The sequence below is a fragment of the Homo sapiens genome, chromosome X (genome assembly GCF_000001405.40).
Source record: "Homo sapiens chromosome X, GRCh38.p14 Primary Assembly".
Taxonomy (NCBI): Eukaryota; Metazoa; Chordata; class Mammalia; order Primates; family Hominidae; genus Homo; species Homo sapiens.
Genome location: NC_000023.11, coordinates 117913387 through 117930104, shown reverse-complemented (window position 1 = coordinate 117930104; position 16718 = coordinate 117913387). Strand labels below are relative to the sequence as shown.

Below are 16718 nucleotides of genomic sequence, written 5' to 3'. Positions count from 1 at the left end.
TATTGCACTGGATAAAACCTCTAGAAAAATGGTGAAAGCAATCAGTCTTTCACCATTAAGTATGATGTTATCTGTAGGTTTGAGGAAGTTCTCTCGTATTCTTAGCTTGCTAAAAATTTATTTTAATTTTCTAATTTTTTTTTGAGACAAGGTCTCATTCTGTCACCCAGACTGGAGTGCAGTTGCATGATTTTGGCTCACTGCAACCTCCTCCCAGGCACAAGCAATCCTCCTACCTCAGGCTCCAGAGTAGCTGGGACTATATGTGTGTGCCACCACACTCGACTAATTTAATTTAAGTTTTTTTTTTTTTTTTTTTTTTTTTTGTAGAGACGATGTCTCACTATATTGCCCAGGCTAGTCTCAAACAGCTGGGCTCAAGCAATCCTCCTGCCTCAACCTCCCAAAGTGCTGGGATTACAGGCATGAGCCACCACATCTGGCGAGTTTACTTTTTTAAAAAAACAGGAATGGATGTTGGATTTTGACAAATGCCTTTTTTTTCTGTAGTCATTAAGAAATGATCTTAGCATTTTTCTTTTTCAGTCTGTTAGTATGGTGATTTATATTGATTAACTTTTGATTGTGAAAGCAACCTTGCATTGGAGTTATAAACTCTTCACTTGGTCATGATGTATTTATTATTCTTATATATCAGTAAATTTGGCTTGTTAAAATTTTGTTGAAAATTTTTACATCTTTGTGCCCGATGGATTTTGATCTTGGCTTTCTGTGATTGTCTTGTCTGGTTTTAGTATTAGAATAATGCTGGCCATGTAGAATAACTTGGGATATATGCTCTCCTCCTAATATTCTGGATTTGTTTGTGGGGTATTGGTGTTCTTTCTTCCTTAAATGTTTGATAGATTTCACCAGTGAAACCATTTCATCTTAGAGTTTTCCTTGGGGAAACAATTTTAAATTAAAATTTAATTTTATAGTAGACATGTAGCTATTTAGTTTATCTGTTTCTTCTAAAACTTTAGTAGCTTGTGTCTTTCACAGAATTTGTCCATTTAAACTGAGTTGTCAAATTTATTGGCATGAAGTTGTTCATATTTCCTTATTATCCTTTTAATACTTATAGAATCTCTAGTTTATGCCACTTCTATTCATCCTGGCATTGGTAATTTGTATATTCTCTCTTTTTCTCACCTAATCCGTCTTGTTAGAGTTTTGTCAGATTTATGGATCTTCTCAGAGGAACAGCTTTTGGTCTTATTGCTTTTTCTGTTTTTCTGTTTTCTATTTCATTGATTTCCACTATGATCTTTATTATTGCAATTCTCCTGCCTAATTTGGGATAAATTTGCTCTTCTATTTCTAGTTTTTTAAGAAGGAAACATCTTTCATAGGAGGTGTTTCTTCTTTTTTAATATAGTCATTGACTGATATAAATTTCCCCTAAGTAGAGCTTCATCTGCACTCCACAATTTTTGATGTTATATTTTCATTTAGTTCAAAATGCTTACGAGTTTTTCTTTTGATTTCTTTATGGGTTATTTAGAAGTATGTTTTAGTTTCAAAACATTTGGGGATTTTCCAGAGATTTTTCTATTTTTGATTTCTAATATAATTAAGCTGGGGCCAGAGAACATATTAATAATTTGTATGACTTGAATCCTTTTAAATTTTTTAAGACTAGTTTTATGGCCCAGAATATGATCTATCTTGTAAATGTTTCACATATACCTGAAAATAATTTGCATCCTACTGTTCTTCGGTGAAGTATTCTGTAAATGCCAATTAGGTCAAGTTGGTTGATAGTGTTGTTTCAGTATCCTTGCTAATTTCTGTATATTTACTGGTTTTTGTCACCTTTAAAATCAATTATTGAGAGAATGGTATTGAAATCTCCAATTATAATTGTAAATTTGTTTATTTCTATTTGTAGTTCTCTCAGTTTGCTTCATGTATTTTGAAACTCTGCTATTAAACACACAGACATCTAAGGAATTTATGTTCTCTTGGTAAACTGACCTTTATTATGAAGTTACCTGATTAATTTTTGGTACTATGCTCTGAGATCTATTTTGTTTGGTATTGTAGTCATGCTAGGTTTATTTTAATTAGTGTTTGCTTTGTATATCTTTTACCATCCTTTTACTTTTATTTTTGTAAATTAACATACAGTAAAAGTCAATTTTTTATTAGTACATACTTTTATGAGTTTCAACATATATATTGTTTCATTTAATCTCCAGAATTATGACACAGAACCATTCCATGACCTCAGCATACTCCCTCCTGTTACCCCTTGGTAGTTATACCCACCACCATCCCTAAACCCTGGAAGCTACTGATCTGTTTTCTGTCGCTTTATTTTTGTCTTTTTGGAAATGTTACATAAATGACATTATATGATCTGTAAGCTTTTGGGGCTGGTTTCTTTTACTTAGTATAATATTTTAAGATTCATTCATTTTGTTGTCTATGTCAATAGTTTGTTCCTTTTTACTGTTGAGCAGTATTCCATGGTATGGAACTTTGTGAGGTCTCTTCTTCATTCTCCTCCACCTGGACCATCTTCCGAATTCTTTCCAGTTGCTAGGGCTCTATTTTGGCCCTTTGGCCTGAAAGCTGGGACCTTATTTTCCCTGCTCTGCCACACAGTTATCATGGCTGCACCCACATCTTGGCCCAAAGACAAAGAGAGAGGAACTGAATTGAATATTCACCACAGAAAGACAATCACTGCTTCTCTGACCAAGGAGAAAGGTTCCTCTTTTACAGGGTTTTAGGCATCTGCCACCCCCACTGTCACCATTGTCACTCCTCTTGCTACCAATGCCTTGAAATTGCCTTGGGATCCAGGCCAGGCCGGGAGGGGCGGGGCGGGGCGAGGCGAGGCGTCCTCTCCAAGCTCTCTGAGCTTTGAGAATCTTCTTCTCTTTAAGAAAGAAGTGGCCGGGCGCGGTAGCTCAGGCCTGTAATCCCAGCACTTTGGGAGGCAGAGGCGGGCGGATCATGGTCAGGAGATCAAGACCATCCTGGCTAACATGGTGAAACCCCGTCTTTACTAAAACTACAAATTAGCCGGGCGTGGCGGCATGCGCCTATAGTCCCAGCTACTCGGGAGGCTGAGGCAGGAGAAGGGCGTGAACCTGGGAGGCGGAGGTTGCAGTGAGCCGAGATTGCGCCACTGCACTCCAGCCTGGGCGACAGAGCGAGACTCCATCTCAAAAAAAAAAAAAAAAAAAAAAAAAAAAAAAAAAAAAAGAAGTAGGGGGCTTCTCCTGGAGCTTTTTCTGTCTGTTGACAGGTGACTGTTTCCAGCTTACGTGATGCCCTAAGTCCAGGTCGGGGTAGACTGGGAAATATAAGATAGGGGGTGGGGTGAGGTGGGGACTCACCATCAGCTTGGTGAGAGTTTGCATTCTGATTTTCTTTCTTAATTCATCTGCTCTCATTAATATGTGGTTTTCATTTACTTTTAAGCTTTGTGAAATTGCACCAGGCCAGCATTTATTCTAGAGCAAACTTTCCCCCAGTACTGAGGCAGAATCCTTTTGACGATGGTGACAGTGGGGGTGGCAGATGCTTAAAACCCCAGCCTTGTAAGGTTTCCACTCATGGTTTGAATAGAAACGACTTCCAGCCCTTTGTGAACCTTGGAGAGTATTCCTTGTGCTCTTTTTTGGCGGTTCTTTCTGCAGACAAAGATGTTTATCATTACTCGCTGGAATCCTTGAGGGTGACTGTTTTTCGAGCTCTGGAATCCTCTCTGTGTGCTGATCTCTCTTCTTATATTCTGTCCTATCTGCCTTGATGTCCCCAGACTCTCAGCTCTAGGAGAATACTAGGTTTTGCCTGGGTTCCCACTCCCTGCACCTCTGTCTGAAATCCATAGGCAGTAAATTTAGACAGTCATAGGGCTCACCCAATTTGTTTCTTATCTTTCACAGATCCCTTTCCTTCAATGTTTTTAAACTTTTTTTCCATATATTTTTGTTTGATTTTAAAGAGTTTCAGGACGTAATGTAAATCGAATCTCTCTTACTGGAAACATAAATTTATAGGATATAATTGAATAAGTAATGGTGAAATCCAAACTAAAAATGCCTAATTATTTTAGAGATGATTGTGTGAGAGATAGCTTTACAAAGGAGGTGGAATTTGGGCAGGTGTGGTGACTCACACCTGTAATCCCAGCATTTTGGGAGGCTGAGACAGGTGGCGGTTGGGGGGCATCCTTGAGGCCAGCCTGGGTAACATGATGAAACCCCTTCTCTACAAAACAACAACAACAAAGGAGGTCTAATTTAAGCTAGTCTTTGAAGGAGGAAGGATATTCCAGGTGAAAAAAAATTTTTATCACCAATGTGATCGTTTGGAGAACAACCTGATAAGACGGGTCAGAGTATATAGGGAACTAATAAAAAATAAGGTTGGGATCAGATCAAAGAAGTCTCTGCAAACCAGAAGTTGTGCTATATTGCAGTGATGGAAAGTCTTTACGTTTTTAAAGTCTAAGCAGTGTTATATAATAATGAGCACAGAGTTTAAAATTAATATAAACATTTATGTCCAGCCTATATATTTGTTTTAACTTAAGTGCATCTGTTCCTTTTTCTGTCCTTTGAATAAAATGAAGAGCAGCCTCATAAAAACATGGCTGGTATTGTTTTTATCTAATACATTACATTTACATAACACTGGAGTAAGGCCATTTCTTAACTTTCTTTAGTTCCTTAATCTTTGTTCATAGAACATATTTTCCATTATAATTTTAACTACTCTTTTCAGGATGTGTTTCGTTTTTTCTCTACTTAAAATGACAATGATCAAAACTAGATATAATATGCTAGTAAGTTTGTTCTAATGTAGAATTTAGTTGAATTATTTGTTTATCAAATTCCTTTTAAATACCTGACAGTATCAATGTAGCTTTTTTTCACAATAGCATTATATTTCACTTGAAAGCTATTGACATCCAAGTAATTTTTATACAAATTATTCATAGCTTGTCTGGTTTCCATGTTATAATCCTGTAATATCAAGTCATATTCTATTCTGTTTTAATATGATCATTTTAAAATTTATCAAACTCATTAGATGTTTCAGACTTTCTTTGTTTCCTGGTATTAGATATGTACCTCTCTCTATTTAATAGAGGTTGAAGTTTTGATACATTGGGTAAGTTTAATACAGTGAAGAGAAAAAACATGTTTAAAAACATTAAACATTAAACATTAAAACATTAAACATTAAAAATAGCATTAAAATGCTATTTTCCAGCATCAAAATAGCATTAAATGACGCTATTTTTCCAGGATATGGAGAAGAAAATAAAGGAAGATATGGGGAGATTTATAGAAGAAGAAAGGGAAATATTAAAGAAATTGAGGACAGACAAACCCCTCTTAAATCAAACCCAAGGCACAGAGACAGAAAAGTAGAGAACTAAGATAAGTGTTGAGATAGAGAGACTGGAAAGATGATGAGTTTAAATCAACAGAAGCAGTTTTAAGGACATTCTGAAAAACTAATTAGAAACTGAACAATTTGCCTAAAGCAGAGCTGCATAGGTATATGGTATACTAGCATATGGAAACAGACAAAAATGTTCATGTAAATCTTTCAAGAAGAGTGAGTACAAGTTTGGTGAAAGAAAATGATTTTACAGTAAAAGGACTTATTTCGAGTGTGCAGGAATCTTTGAAAGGCTTCTTAAATAGGGGAAAAGATTTATGAGTGAAAGCAAAAAGTAGATATATAGAAGGCAGATGAGAATTTTGGAAGATAATGAACCTCTCTCTTTTTCTTTTAATGTATGCATACTTCACTAGAAGATTAGAGAATAAAAGGTGTTTAGAGAAATGACTGCCTTCTTGTACACAACAATGTGTATAGTCAGAAGGAGCTTCTCTTTAGACAGAACTGGGATATCTGGAAAATAATATACAAACAAGATGTTTAGAATTTGTTTGAAAACAATCTGAATTGACAGATATCATTTGGATAAAGATAGACATAACGTAGAATAAAATTCACTAATATGGAATTGGATAGTGGGGTCATTCATTTATGCATATAAAAATAAAGGTTATGAAATGTTTAGAAAGGGACACTGTATGTTGTGAAAATAAATGTAAAACCTTACAAAAGCAGATAACTTGCCAAAGGTAGATACATTAAGCGTGGAATAAAAGACACTCCGAATTTGTTAAAAATGCTCTAGGTGCCTTAACTTCTTTTCTTTTGGGACACCAGATTATACTGAGAAAGGTTAAAGGATTTTTTAAAAATGATAGTGTAAAGGGACACAAAATGATAAAATCTGTGAAAAGAATAAAAGCTCCCGGTGTCTTAGCTGAGCAAAGCTGTCCAGATCTTGAGCATTGATTACATACCTCCACAAGCAGTTTGAATGGAATATGGACAAAACAAGAAATTACACAGCTGACGATACATGATGCACAAGCTACTCCTCTTTTCAGAGGGAAAAAAAAGTAATATGTAGTAGGAATGGAACATACTGACATTATTCAATTCCAATTGTAAAATATTTGCAGGAATATTTTAAAGGCAGGAGGCTAGCAAATAAGCCAAGAAGGTTTTGTTTGTTTGTTTGTTTTTGTTCTTTAGTGGAAGAAAATAATGGATCAGATACAATCATTGCTTTTGAATAAATAATCCAGAATTTCTTTATAAAGATATTGTCTACGTATGCTTTAGAGAAGAAGAATAAAAAACTATTTGATAAATAAACATAAAGGGGGCATACAGTACCTAGACTCATCTCATTAGTATCTTGACATCTCTTTTTTATGCCAATGCCCAAGGTATGTTACTTTTCCCAAGAAAAATCAAATCCTTTAACTTGCCATTAGCTATTCAAAACTTTAAAAATAAATATCCTTCGAACCAACAACTCCAGTCCTGAGAATATCTCCCACAGATATACTTAGACAGCTAAGTGTATGTACAAGGAAGTTAATTGCGGCATTGCTTATAACTGCAGAATTTGAGGGAAAACCTGAGTGTTCAACTAAGCGGGAATGGATAAATAACTTATGACATGCCCCTACTGTAGATTACTGTGCATGCACTAAAAGAATGAAATAAATCCTGTGCACTGAGATAGAAGACTATCTGTGTTATCTGCTCAAGTGAATTTTAAAATGCACAACAGTATGTATAGTAACCCACTTTAAAGAGGCCTTTATATATTTTAATACAAGCATAATGTAGATTATGATATATAGAGAATGAGGTCTTGAAGTATGCTTACTAAACTGTTAACAGTGGTTACTTCTAGTAAGTGAAAGAGGTAGCCTTTAAGTTTTTAACTTATATCCTTCTGTATTTTGACTTCAAAAAACATACAAGCACATATTTAATTTTTTAAACCTGAAATTTATATGAGGGATAAAACAAACACAAGTTTGGGAGCCAACGTTTTCTCCCCAACTCCTGGTTCACTACCTTTTCTCTTACCTTAACCTTTACCACTACCACAAACTACCACAAACGAACACAAACGAACACTTTAAGCACAACTCATTTTATTATTGGGAGAGGTTTCACAAATAAGTTCCTGGTTTCCAGTTAACTTGTTGCAAAGTTTACATCCTACCCAATGTGACTACATGGCTTTAAAGTTACCAGTGGTAGCTTCTGAGTAAAATTTTGTTTGTTTGTTCATGCGTTAATGGAACATATATTAAGTACCAACAGTATGCCAAACACTGGGGAATTCAAAGATGCTAGTCTCTCAACTGTTTCAGCTGATGCTTGACTATCCTCTCCCACACCCTAGTGTCCTCATTCACTGCTTCCCAATACTCTACATTTGAAAGGTGATTCCCACAAATTTATTGCAATTTAGACCCCATATATCAATGCCGAGATCGCGCCACTGCACTCCAGCCTGGGCGACAGAGCGAGACTCTGTCTCAAAAAAACAAAACAAAAAAAGAGCTGAAGTGACTCTTCTCATGCCTTCAGCATGAGAATATTCCCTTAAAATTGGCATCTCTTTTTATAAGATGAGCTATTATTATTTTACTTCTACTTTTCTAAATAACAGAGACAGCAGACGAATTAGTAATGGAAAATAAAAATAGTGGCATAGGATATATAATGTTTGGGTTTACAAAGAAAAAGGGGCATTTGTGAAAGATTTGATATTTGTTAACATAAACATGTCAATCATTGTTGGAAAAAGAAAAATATGATATATAATCTTGTTTTAAAGTGTATGTATAATGTATAAATATTTTTGGAATAAAAATATTCATCTCTTTCCCTAGAGGGAGAGTGGCTGGATCAGATCATCTCTTTGAAGTTCCAGTTCTGTAATTCAAGCATTTTCTTTAAAAAGCTTTAAAATTAAAATGAGAAGCTTAACTAGGGTTTATACTACACATATGTGTAGGATCAATATTTTTAAAACTGCATTCTTAATATGTTATGCCTTTTGCTCTTTAAATCTGTGAAACAAAACATAGTTTTATTTGAAGTCATTAAAATATGAAGGGGACAGAGTAATCAATGCTGTTGGTTCTTACTGTATTATATTATTAGAAAGCAATTTGTGTATTTTGTGTATCTGTCTTCCTGGTTTTTTATAATGAAACATTTCTATCTTTGAAACTACAGACTCAATCTTGCCAAAATGTTCATTTTTTGTATCATTGTTAAATTGCATATTGTTCCCTTTTGGTGTACTTTAGTAGCCTGTTACAATCTTTTTAAATTCGTTATTCTTAATCGACAAATAAACATTATATATAATTTGTCATGTAAAACATGATATTTTAATCACATCATGGTAAATGGGGTATCCATCCCCTAAAGCATACATCTCTGTACCCACAAAAATTAAAAATAAAAGATAAAAATTGAAAAACATGATGTTTTGAAATATGTGTATGTTGTAGATTCAACCTGTTATAATCTTAAAAGTGATTGTCATTCTTCCAACTTATATCAATAGAACAACTGTCTATTTGTCGTTAGTTGAGACCATCAGGGTGTAGTGAAAAAGCTAATCAACAAGGATTCTTCTCACCAGAGCTCTGTCACTCCTCTGAATTGTGGCTGCTAGCCTGTTAATTCTCCACTAAACCTTTAGGCATTTGGAGACAATTAAGTCTCATGTTGGGGTTTCCTGGGCTTTTTTTTGTTTTTTTTCAAACAAAGATAATTAAGTCTCAAACTTGAAACTTGAAAGATATTTGGCCAGGCAGCAGCAATGTACTGAGTATAGGCTTCTCAAAGAGATGAAGTAATACAATTAGTAGAAAGAACTATCGTGTACTTAATACAGTTGCTCTCTACTTTTCTTTCTCAACCTCCCCCAAAACAAAACAAAACCAAGATGCTTCAGTCAAGCACTATAAAAGGACTATTAAATTATCGCGAAAAGGAATGTTAAGACAGTCTAATACTCTCATTCTGCAGATGGGAAAGTAGAAGTGCACATTGTAATTATTTTTCAAAATAAGGTAAAAGCTGATAATTGTGTAAATAAGCAAAAGTATATACTTTTTCCTTAATCGTTTTTAACCTAAATTAGTCTTAATTTTGTGTTATTCCTACAGTGAAAGAAAACATGCATTGTCACATATCAGGAAAGTTGTGCAGTTATTTTTTCTTCTCCCGAATATTCTGTTGGCTTTATGTTCCACATATGTTGCACCACATTAATATTCAAACAATTTTAGCACACGAAGATTTGTAACCTCATTTTACCTTGATTAGTGACTCAACTCATGTTCTTGTTGTAGGGCTTTGACCAGCTTCGACTTGAAGGATTGCTTTGTGATGTGACCCTGATGCCAGGTGACACAGATGATGCTTTCCCTGTGCATAGAGTCATGATGGCATCTGCTAGTGATTACTTCAAGGCTATGTTCACAGGTAGTTTGCCTTTTAAAACTCTGAAACCACATTAAAACAATATGAAAAATCCGTGTTTAAATCTTTTTTATTTCTAACATGAAATTTGGTTCTTTTGGAAACAGCTTCAAAAGAAGTACACAACAGTATGTATGGTTTTCGGTGGTGCTGTTTTAACATGGAAAATTGATGCACTTTTTTCATACTGTCCATCTTTATCTCACAGCTTTTCTTTTTCAAGCTTATATCTAGTGGGCCATCAGAGACTCTGTGTCCTCCTAGTACAATCTCTACTCTATGTCAAAAAATAGGAAGTGAGAACATTTTGGAAGCACTTGCATCATATATGACCTCCATTAGTATAGAGATTATCTTTTTTAAGTACTTTCTTTTAACAGTAAAATGTGCAGCAGACTGACTCTAATATGACTGCTTATATAAGATAAGACTTTCCTTTGATTTTATTGCATCTAATTAGCAGCAGAAGTGAGTTTGACCATAATTATCCACCTTCATTTAATTGAATGTCTTTTTATTTAAGGTGGAATGAAAGAACAAGATTTAATGTGCATTAAACTTCATGGTGTGAGCAAAGTCGGTCTAAGGAAAATTATTGATTTCATTTATACTGCAAAGCTTTCTCTTAATATGGACAACCTTCAAGACACGCTGGAAGCTGCCAGTTTCCTACAGATTCTGCCAGTTTTGGACTTCTGTAAAGTGTTTCTCATATCTGGGGTAAGATATTTTGAAATCTGATTTTTCCTGTGGTAGACTCTGATGTAGCCTGTTTAGGACTCATGAAATCTGCTGTGCAGGAATGTGAAACTTGCCATTAGACAGATGTGTCTTGTTGTATGTGGTCTGTAAGCAAGGTGAGATTGAAACAGGTGCATTTTTATGAAATAGAATCATTTAATAAAAGCCTCTGTGTTGGCCGGGCATCGTGGCTCACGCCTGTAATCCCAGCACTTTGGGAGGCCGAGGCGGGCAGATCGTCTAAGGTTGGGAGTTCAAGACCAGCCTGACCAACATGGAGAAAGCCCGTCTCTACTAAAAATACAAAAATTAGCTGTGCATGGTGGTGCATGCCTGTAATTCCAGCTACTTGGGAGGCTGAGGCAGGAGAATCGCTTGAACCTGGGAGGTGGAGGTTGTGGCGAACTGAGATCACGCCATTGCACTCCAGCCTGGGCAACAAGAGTGAGACTCCATCTCAGGAAGAAAAAAAAAGCCTCTGTGTAATCAAATGACATGAGATACTAATAATGTTTGATGAAGATATATACTTTAACTGTTTGATAATGGTATGTACCATAATCTGGTTTTATTCACCTTAATGACTATACAAGCAGGCTTCTTAAATGTAATTGAATGGAAAAGTAATCTGAGCTTCTAGAACTCTTTAAAATTTCTTCTTTTAATAAGGGAGCTAGATCTTAAGAAGAACTAATACCTATGGGCAAACCTGTAAGAATGTAAGTCTTGATTCCATAGAAACATATCACCTACTGAATAGTGTTTAGCCATTTTTTAATAGATAAGATAGGACACATACAACTACCAATCGATGGAGTACTTAATGATAGTCACCCAGTTCCTGAAGAGAGTGTTTTATTTTAGTTGAGACCTTTAAATTTTACTTCTGGGGAGATAAATGGCTACATTGGACAGAAATATTGCCAAGACTTCCAGAGGTCTTGGAGCTTGTTTTTCTGATTAAGAATTCTGGCAATATTAATTTTTGGTATATTTTCTAACTCATTATGTTGATGGATATGTTTTCTATAATTTTTTAACTCATATGAATCTTAATATAGGTAAATAATTGCTGTTAGATCTTTACAACTTACATTTTTTGAACATGGAACCTTCTTTAAAACACTAAGTTTCAAGAGAGCCATGTCCTTAATTATTTTATTATTAAGGTACTTAACTATCTTAAAAGTCAGCCAATAACTAATTTAACTGGCCTATTGAAAGTGTGTTTTTTGTATGTTTGATTTTAGAAAACTCAGACTGCTGTCTCACAATTACTTATAAAATTTGAACTAATTGCTACTTTTAAGGGTTTTTATGGCAGCATGGTGCTATATTGTTGACTTGTATTGTCTTCTTTATTGCGAAAGTAGCCCAAGTGAAGTTGGTTAATTCCCATGCTATTGCTTGCCTCCATTACTGAATTTAGGTGCTAAATTTTATTTAAATTTGATCATGCAAGGCCCATTCCCTCAAGAGCTATTAGGATCTCACCTCTGGTTGTGTCACTGGCATGATATAACAACTTCATTTCAAGGAAAAATGAATCATATTGAATGTGATTTTCAAAATGCCTCAAGTCCAGAATTTAATTTAGTAGTAACACTTAAAGCTTGTACTTATAGACTCTTAACATTGCTTTACACTGATCTTAGCAACACATGGTCATCCTGAGCCAAATTAAGGAAAGTGCCATGATTTCTTTGGAACTAATCATTAACAAGAGACATTGTTGGCCTATCCTCTAATGCAGAAGTTTAGTACTTAGAACTTCAGGTATTGATTGTGATCAATTCCTTTACCTGAAAGAAAATGACCAAACTGGATAATACACAATACAAAAAAGTTATAGTAATATTACTGTCACAATAATAGAAAAGAATTTTGTTCTAGATAACTGTATTTAAAGCAATTTTATTTAAAGATGAGACCATAGTCACTTTGTATTGCTAATTTCCAGTAATTAGACTGTTGGTTCCTTAACCTGTGTTGAAACATTTATTATAATTGTTTAACAATTTAGAAATGTCTTCATTTTTATAAACACTTAATATTGCCTTAAATATCATGTTCATTTTTTTTTTTTGCATCCTTTGCAGACATCCTAAAACCTATTTCTAATGGAGAAGAGGCTTCTCTGTAGCAAAGATTACTTGTGATAGAGTTTACTCCTACCTCTCAGTTTTAGAATTTTCTTGCCTATGAACTTTTAGGAATTACCTCTTTTCTTTGCATTATTCTACCTTACTTGTCCTTCATCCTTTTTTGCAGAGGATATGTCTGTATGGTTTTAGAGTAGAAATCTCTTCCCTCTCAGAATCCATTGTAATTTTTGAGAAAATCTGGCAGATGATTAGTTCCAGGAACATGCAAAACCCAAGTTTTCCTTTACCCTTCTTTCATGCATTCTGTTTTTTTAGTTAAACCTATGTTCAGTCTTGCTCTATTTATTTCCCCTTTCCTTCTCAGCAATCAAGTGAAAAAGGAAAAATAGTAGCCCAGTGTATTTTCTACTTATAAAAACTGAACATCTCAAGATACTATATTTTTTAAAGGAGGATTTTTTGAAGTTCTTCCATGAGCTAAGTTATTATAGATAAATTTTAATATAATGTTCTCATGTTTAAGAACGGTGTGCTGAAATAAGATGTTTTAGAGGAAATAGGCTTTATGTTTTTAATGATATAGTGATATTATAGTTCACATAATCAAAACACTATTTGGGTTTGAACTTTTAGACAGAAAAATTCCCTTCTAATACAATTCTGTTCTATCCTATTCTCAATCATTTGTGTGGAGGAAGAAGAACAGTGGTACGTAAAGTGTGAATCAGTAACAGTGGTATGTAAAATGCGAATCAGTAAAGAACCTAGAAAACATGTATGTATTAGTTTTAAATGATAACTCTAGATACATTAGTAAAGCCACACTCACCTTTGGTGGGATAGAGATACCAGTTTTCTATAACAGAGCATCAGTGTTAATGGAACAAGAGCCAACCTCCCTTCTAACTTTGCCATCATTTGCAGTGTTACTTAGTGGTTTATAGGATGTGGCATTTTTGTTTTTGCTATGTTATTTTCTTGGAGTTATGGAAAAGAGGACAATGAAATGAATACAGAAGGATGACAATGAAGGATAGATATGAAGCATGGTAGGTAAAAATTTCTGTAAAACTAAAACCACTTTTATATACTATGAAGATAATGGAAAATTGCCTTTGTTTAGTCATACCTAAAAATTACATTGGTTTTGTCCTTATGACATTGTATAACTACAACATGTTAAATACTGTGCCCATTAGCTAGTGTTTTTTTTTTTGTTTGTTTGTTTTGTTTTTTGAGGCGGAGTGTCGCTGTTGTTGCCCAGGCTGGAGTGCAATGGCAGGATCTTGGCTCATCGCAACCTCCGCCTCCCAGGTTCAAGCGATTATCCTGCCTCAGCCTCCCGAGTAGCTGGGATTACAGGCATGCACCACTGTGCCTGGCTAATTTTGTATTTTTAGTAGAGACGAGCTTTCTCCATGTTGGTCAGGCTGGTCTCAAACTCCTGACCTCAGGTGATCCACCCGCCTCAGCCTCCCAAAGCACTGGGATTACAGGCGTGAGCCACCGCGCCCAGCCCCATTTGCTAGTTTATAAGAAAGTTGTGTAAGTTTTGTTTATCCTTTGTTTGCAATTTGAAATTTTTAGCATCTAGCATTTGCCCCACGGAACTTTTGTTATGGAGGATTTTAGGCTAGTTCACAAAACAACCTAATTTAATGTTAGGTTGCTGAAATAGGGCATCTGTAATTGAACTCAAAAGATTACAATTTAAATATACAAATATATAGAATGAACAAAACAGAATAAAGGTGAGAAAGAAATCACTTTATGTTTGTATAAAAGCATTTTTTAACAAGAGAATGAGATATGTCATTGGGCTTTAGACTTGGGGATAATCTTTCTTAAAATAATTTTTTAATTGTGTTTTCCCCCCTTGATGCAGGTAGATTACTGGTTTCACCTGCACATTTGTTATCAGTGATGGGGTGGAGAGCTTACAATGAAGTAGAGAGAAAGTTTATTGAGGTGACTGGAGGTGATGAAGAGTTGGAGACAAAATAAAGGAGGTACATAAGTGGGAAGGAGACAAGAGAGAGGAATAGGGAGAATATGTTTCTCTCAAAAGAAAAACAAAAAGAATCAGAAGTCATTGGAGAAGACAGTTCCTTTTGCTTTGCCTCTGTTACTAAATTACTGAGGATTTCCTGCATAGTACATATATTTCACATTTTTCATTTAATCTAAATTGTATTTACCCGTAAAGATTAACAGACATGTTTTTTAAGATTTTTTTTTCACTTTTGAGGGCAATTTAATGCAAGTTAGAGACAAATTGTATAGATAATTAAAATTAAAAATGAATCAAAATTATTTCCCTCCCCACCAAACCAGTCTTGACTTCCTTATTGACAGGGCTGATATTGGGCAAATAGTACATAGAAGGCCATCCCCGTTGCTTATGGTCGGCCATCCATTCTGATTGGTTGATACCCATCTTTTGTGGTTTTTAAATATTCTAAATATCCCTCCTATAACCTTGAGCACCCATTCTTGCCTATCTGCTATCTGGGACTCTGTCTGGGAAGAAGAGGCCTAGCCTGGGCTCAAACCTCTTCAACCTCACAAAAGCCATTGTAATAACTAACATTGCATTCAATAAAGGAACTGCATTCAAAGTGCAAATAAATAGAGAATTGAATATTTTGGGCTGGAGACACCAGTGGCATTCACCTCAAATAGCATTTAGAAACTGAAGAAAGACAAAGACTGAAAGAGAGAGAGGTGTTTATTATTCAATTATCCCTTTGTTCTTACCAAAGTGTCTCTTCTTTGTGTCCTGTGATGGTCTCATCTGTGGAAGGAGGCTTGAGAAAAGATACCTGTACATTCTCTGCCTGCTGAAGTACCTTGTTGGATTTCTTCCTAGTCTTATTCTGTGGACATGGTTTCATTCTCTGCATTGATTGTACTAGATATCAGGCTGTCATTTTAATAAACTAGATAGCACCAAGTAGAATTTGGCGCATTGAATGGCTAAGGAGTTCCCCAAATTTTTGCCAGATTTCTTAGTCTTTGCATTTCCCTTGAGAGTACAAAAGCAGATACTGGCTGGTCCGAGTGCAGTGGTGTTTACAACTAATTGATCACAACCAGTTACAGATTTCTTTGTTCCTTCTTCACTTTGACTGCTTCACTCGGCTAGCCAGAAAAAAAAAAAAAAAAGCAGATACCCATTTTTTTCTAAATGGGAATTTCTTTGTATAAAACACCAATCTTTTAAAAAAAGTCCTAGATTTCAGATGAAATCTTCCATTAAAATAGCAAATTATGTTAATGACAGTGTTTTGGGTACATCAGTTATAATTTGAATAGTACAGCAGCAGTGAGGACCAGTATGTTATTGAGAATACCACTTGCAATATTATGATGTTGGAAGTGCCTTTAGGATGACTATGACTGTTGTTTGGTTATAAAAGAATAATTTATAATAATTTATATCAAAGAAATGTAAATGAGCAGTTGATTATTTTAAGAACAATTTTATAGGTTCCCACAGGTGCTTGAAGAGTTTTATCCTTTTTTGTTGTTCTTTTTTTTTTTTTTCTTTTTTTTGATGGAGTCTTGCTCTGTCACCAGGCTGGAGTGCAGTGGTGCGGTCTTGGCTCACAGCAACCTCCGCCTCCCGGGTTCAAGTGATTCTCCTGCCTCAGCCTCCCAGGTAGCTGGGAATACAGGCGTGTGCCACCACGTCCGGCTAATTTTTGTATTTTTAGTAGAGATGGGTTTCACCATGTGGGCCAAGATGGTCTCGATCTCCTGACCTCATGATCCACCCACCAAGGCCTCTCAAAGTGCTGGGATTACAGGCGTGAGCCACCGCCCCCGGCCTTGTTGTTCTTTTTAAATGCCAATGTAGTTATTTGGATTAACTTCTGTTATAACTCTGTTTTTAAGTGAACCTTCTTTGGAATTGTGGCCAGGTTTTCAGATGAAATAAAAGATGAACTCAGATGAAATTTCTACTTAGAAATTTTTAAAATAAGCTTTAAACTTCATATTTTATAT

At 35.2% G+C, this 16718-nt stretch overlaps 1 protein-coding gene across 9 annotated transcripts in view; it reads left to right on the top strand.

Annotated features, from left to right (window-relative positions):
• Positions 1-16718, top strand: part of KLHL13 (kelch like family member 13) — a 219528-nt gene that overhangs the window by 187236 nt on the left and 15574 nt on the right. For all 9 annotated transcript variants that reach the window (NM_001168301.2, NM_001394866.1, NM_001168303.4 and 6 more), the window contains 2 exons: positions 9735-9867; positions 10388-10584. In NM_001168301.2, the coding sequence (NP_001161773.1) occupies positions 9735-9867; positions 10388-10584 (330 nt within the window). The remainder of the gene's footprint in view (positions 1-9734; positions 9868-10387; positions 10585-16718) is intronic.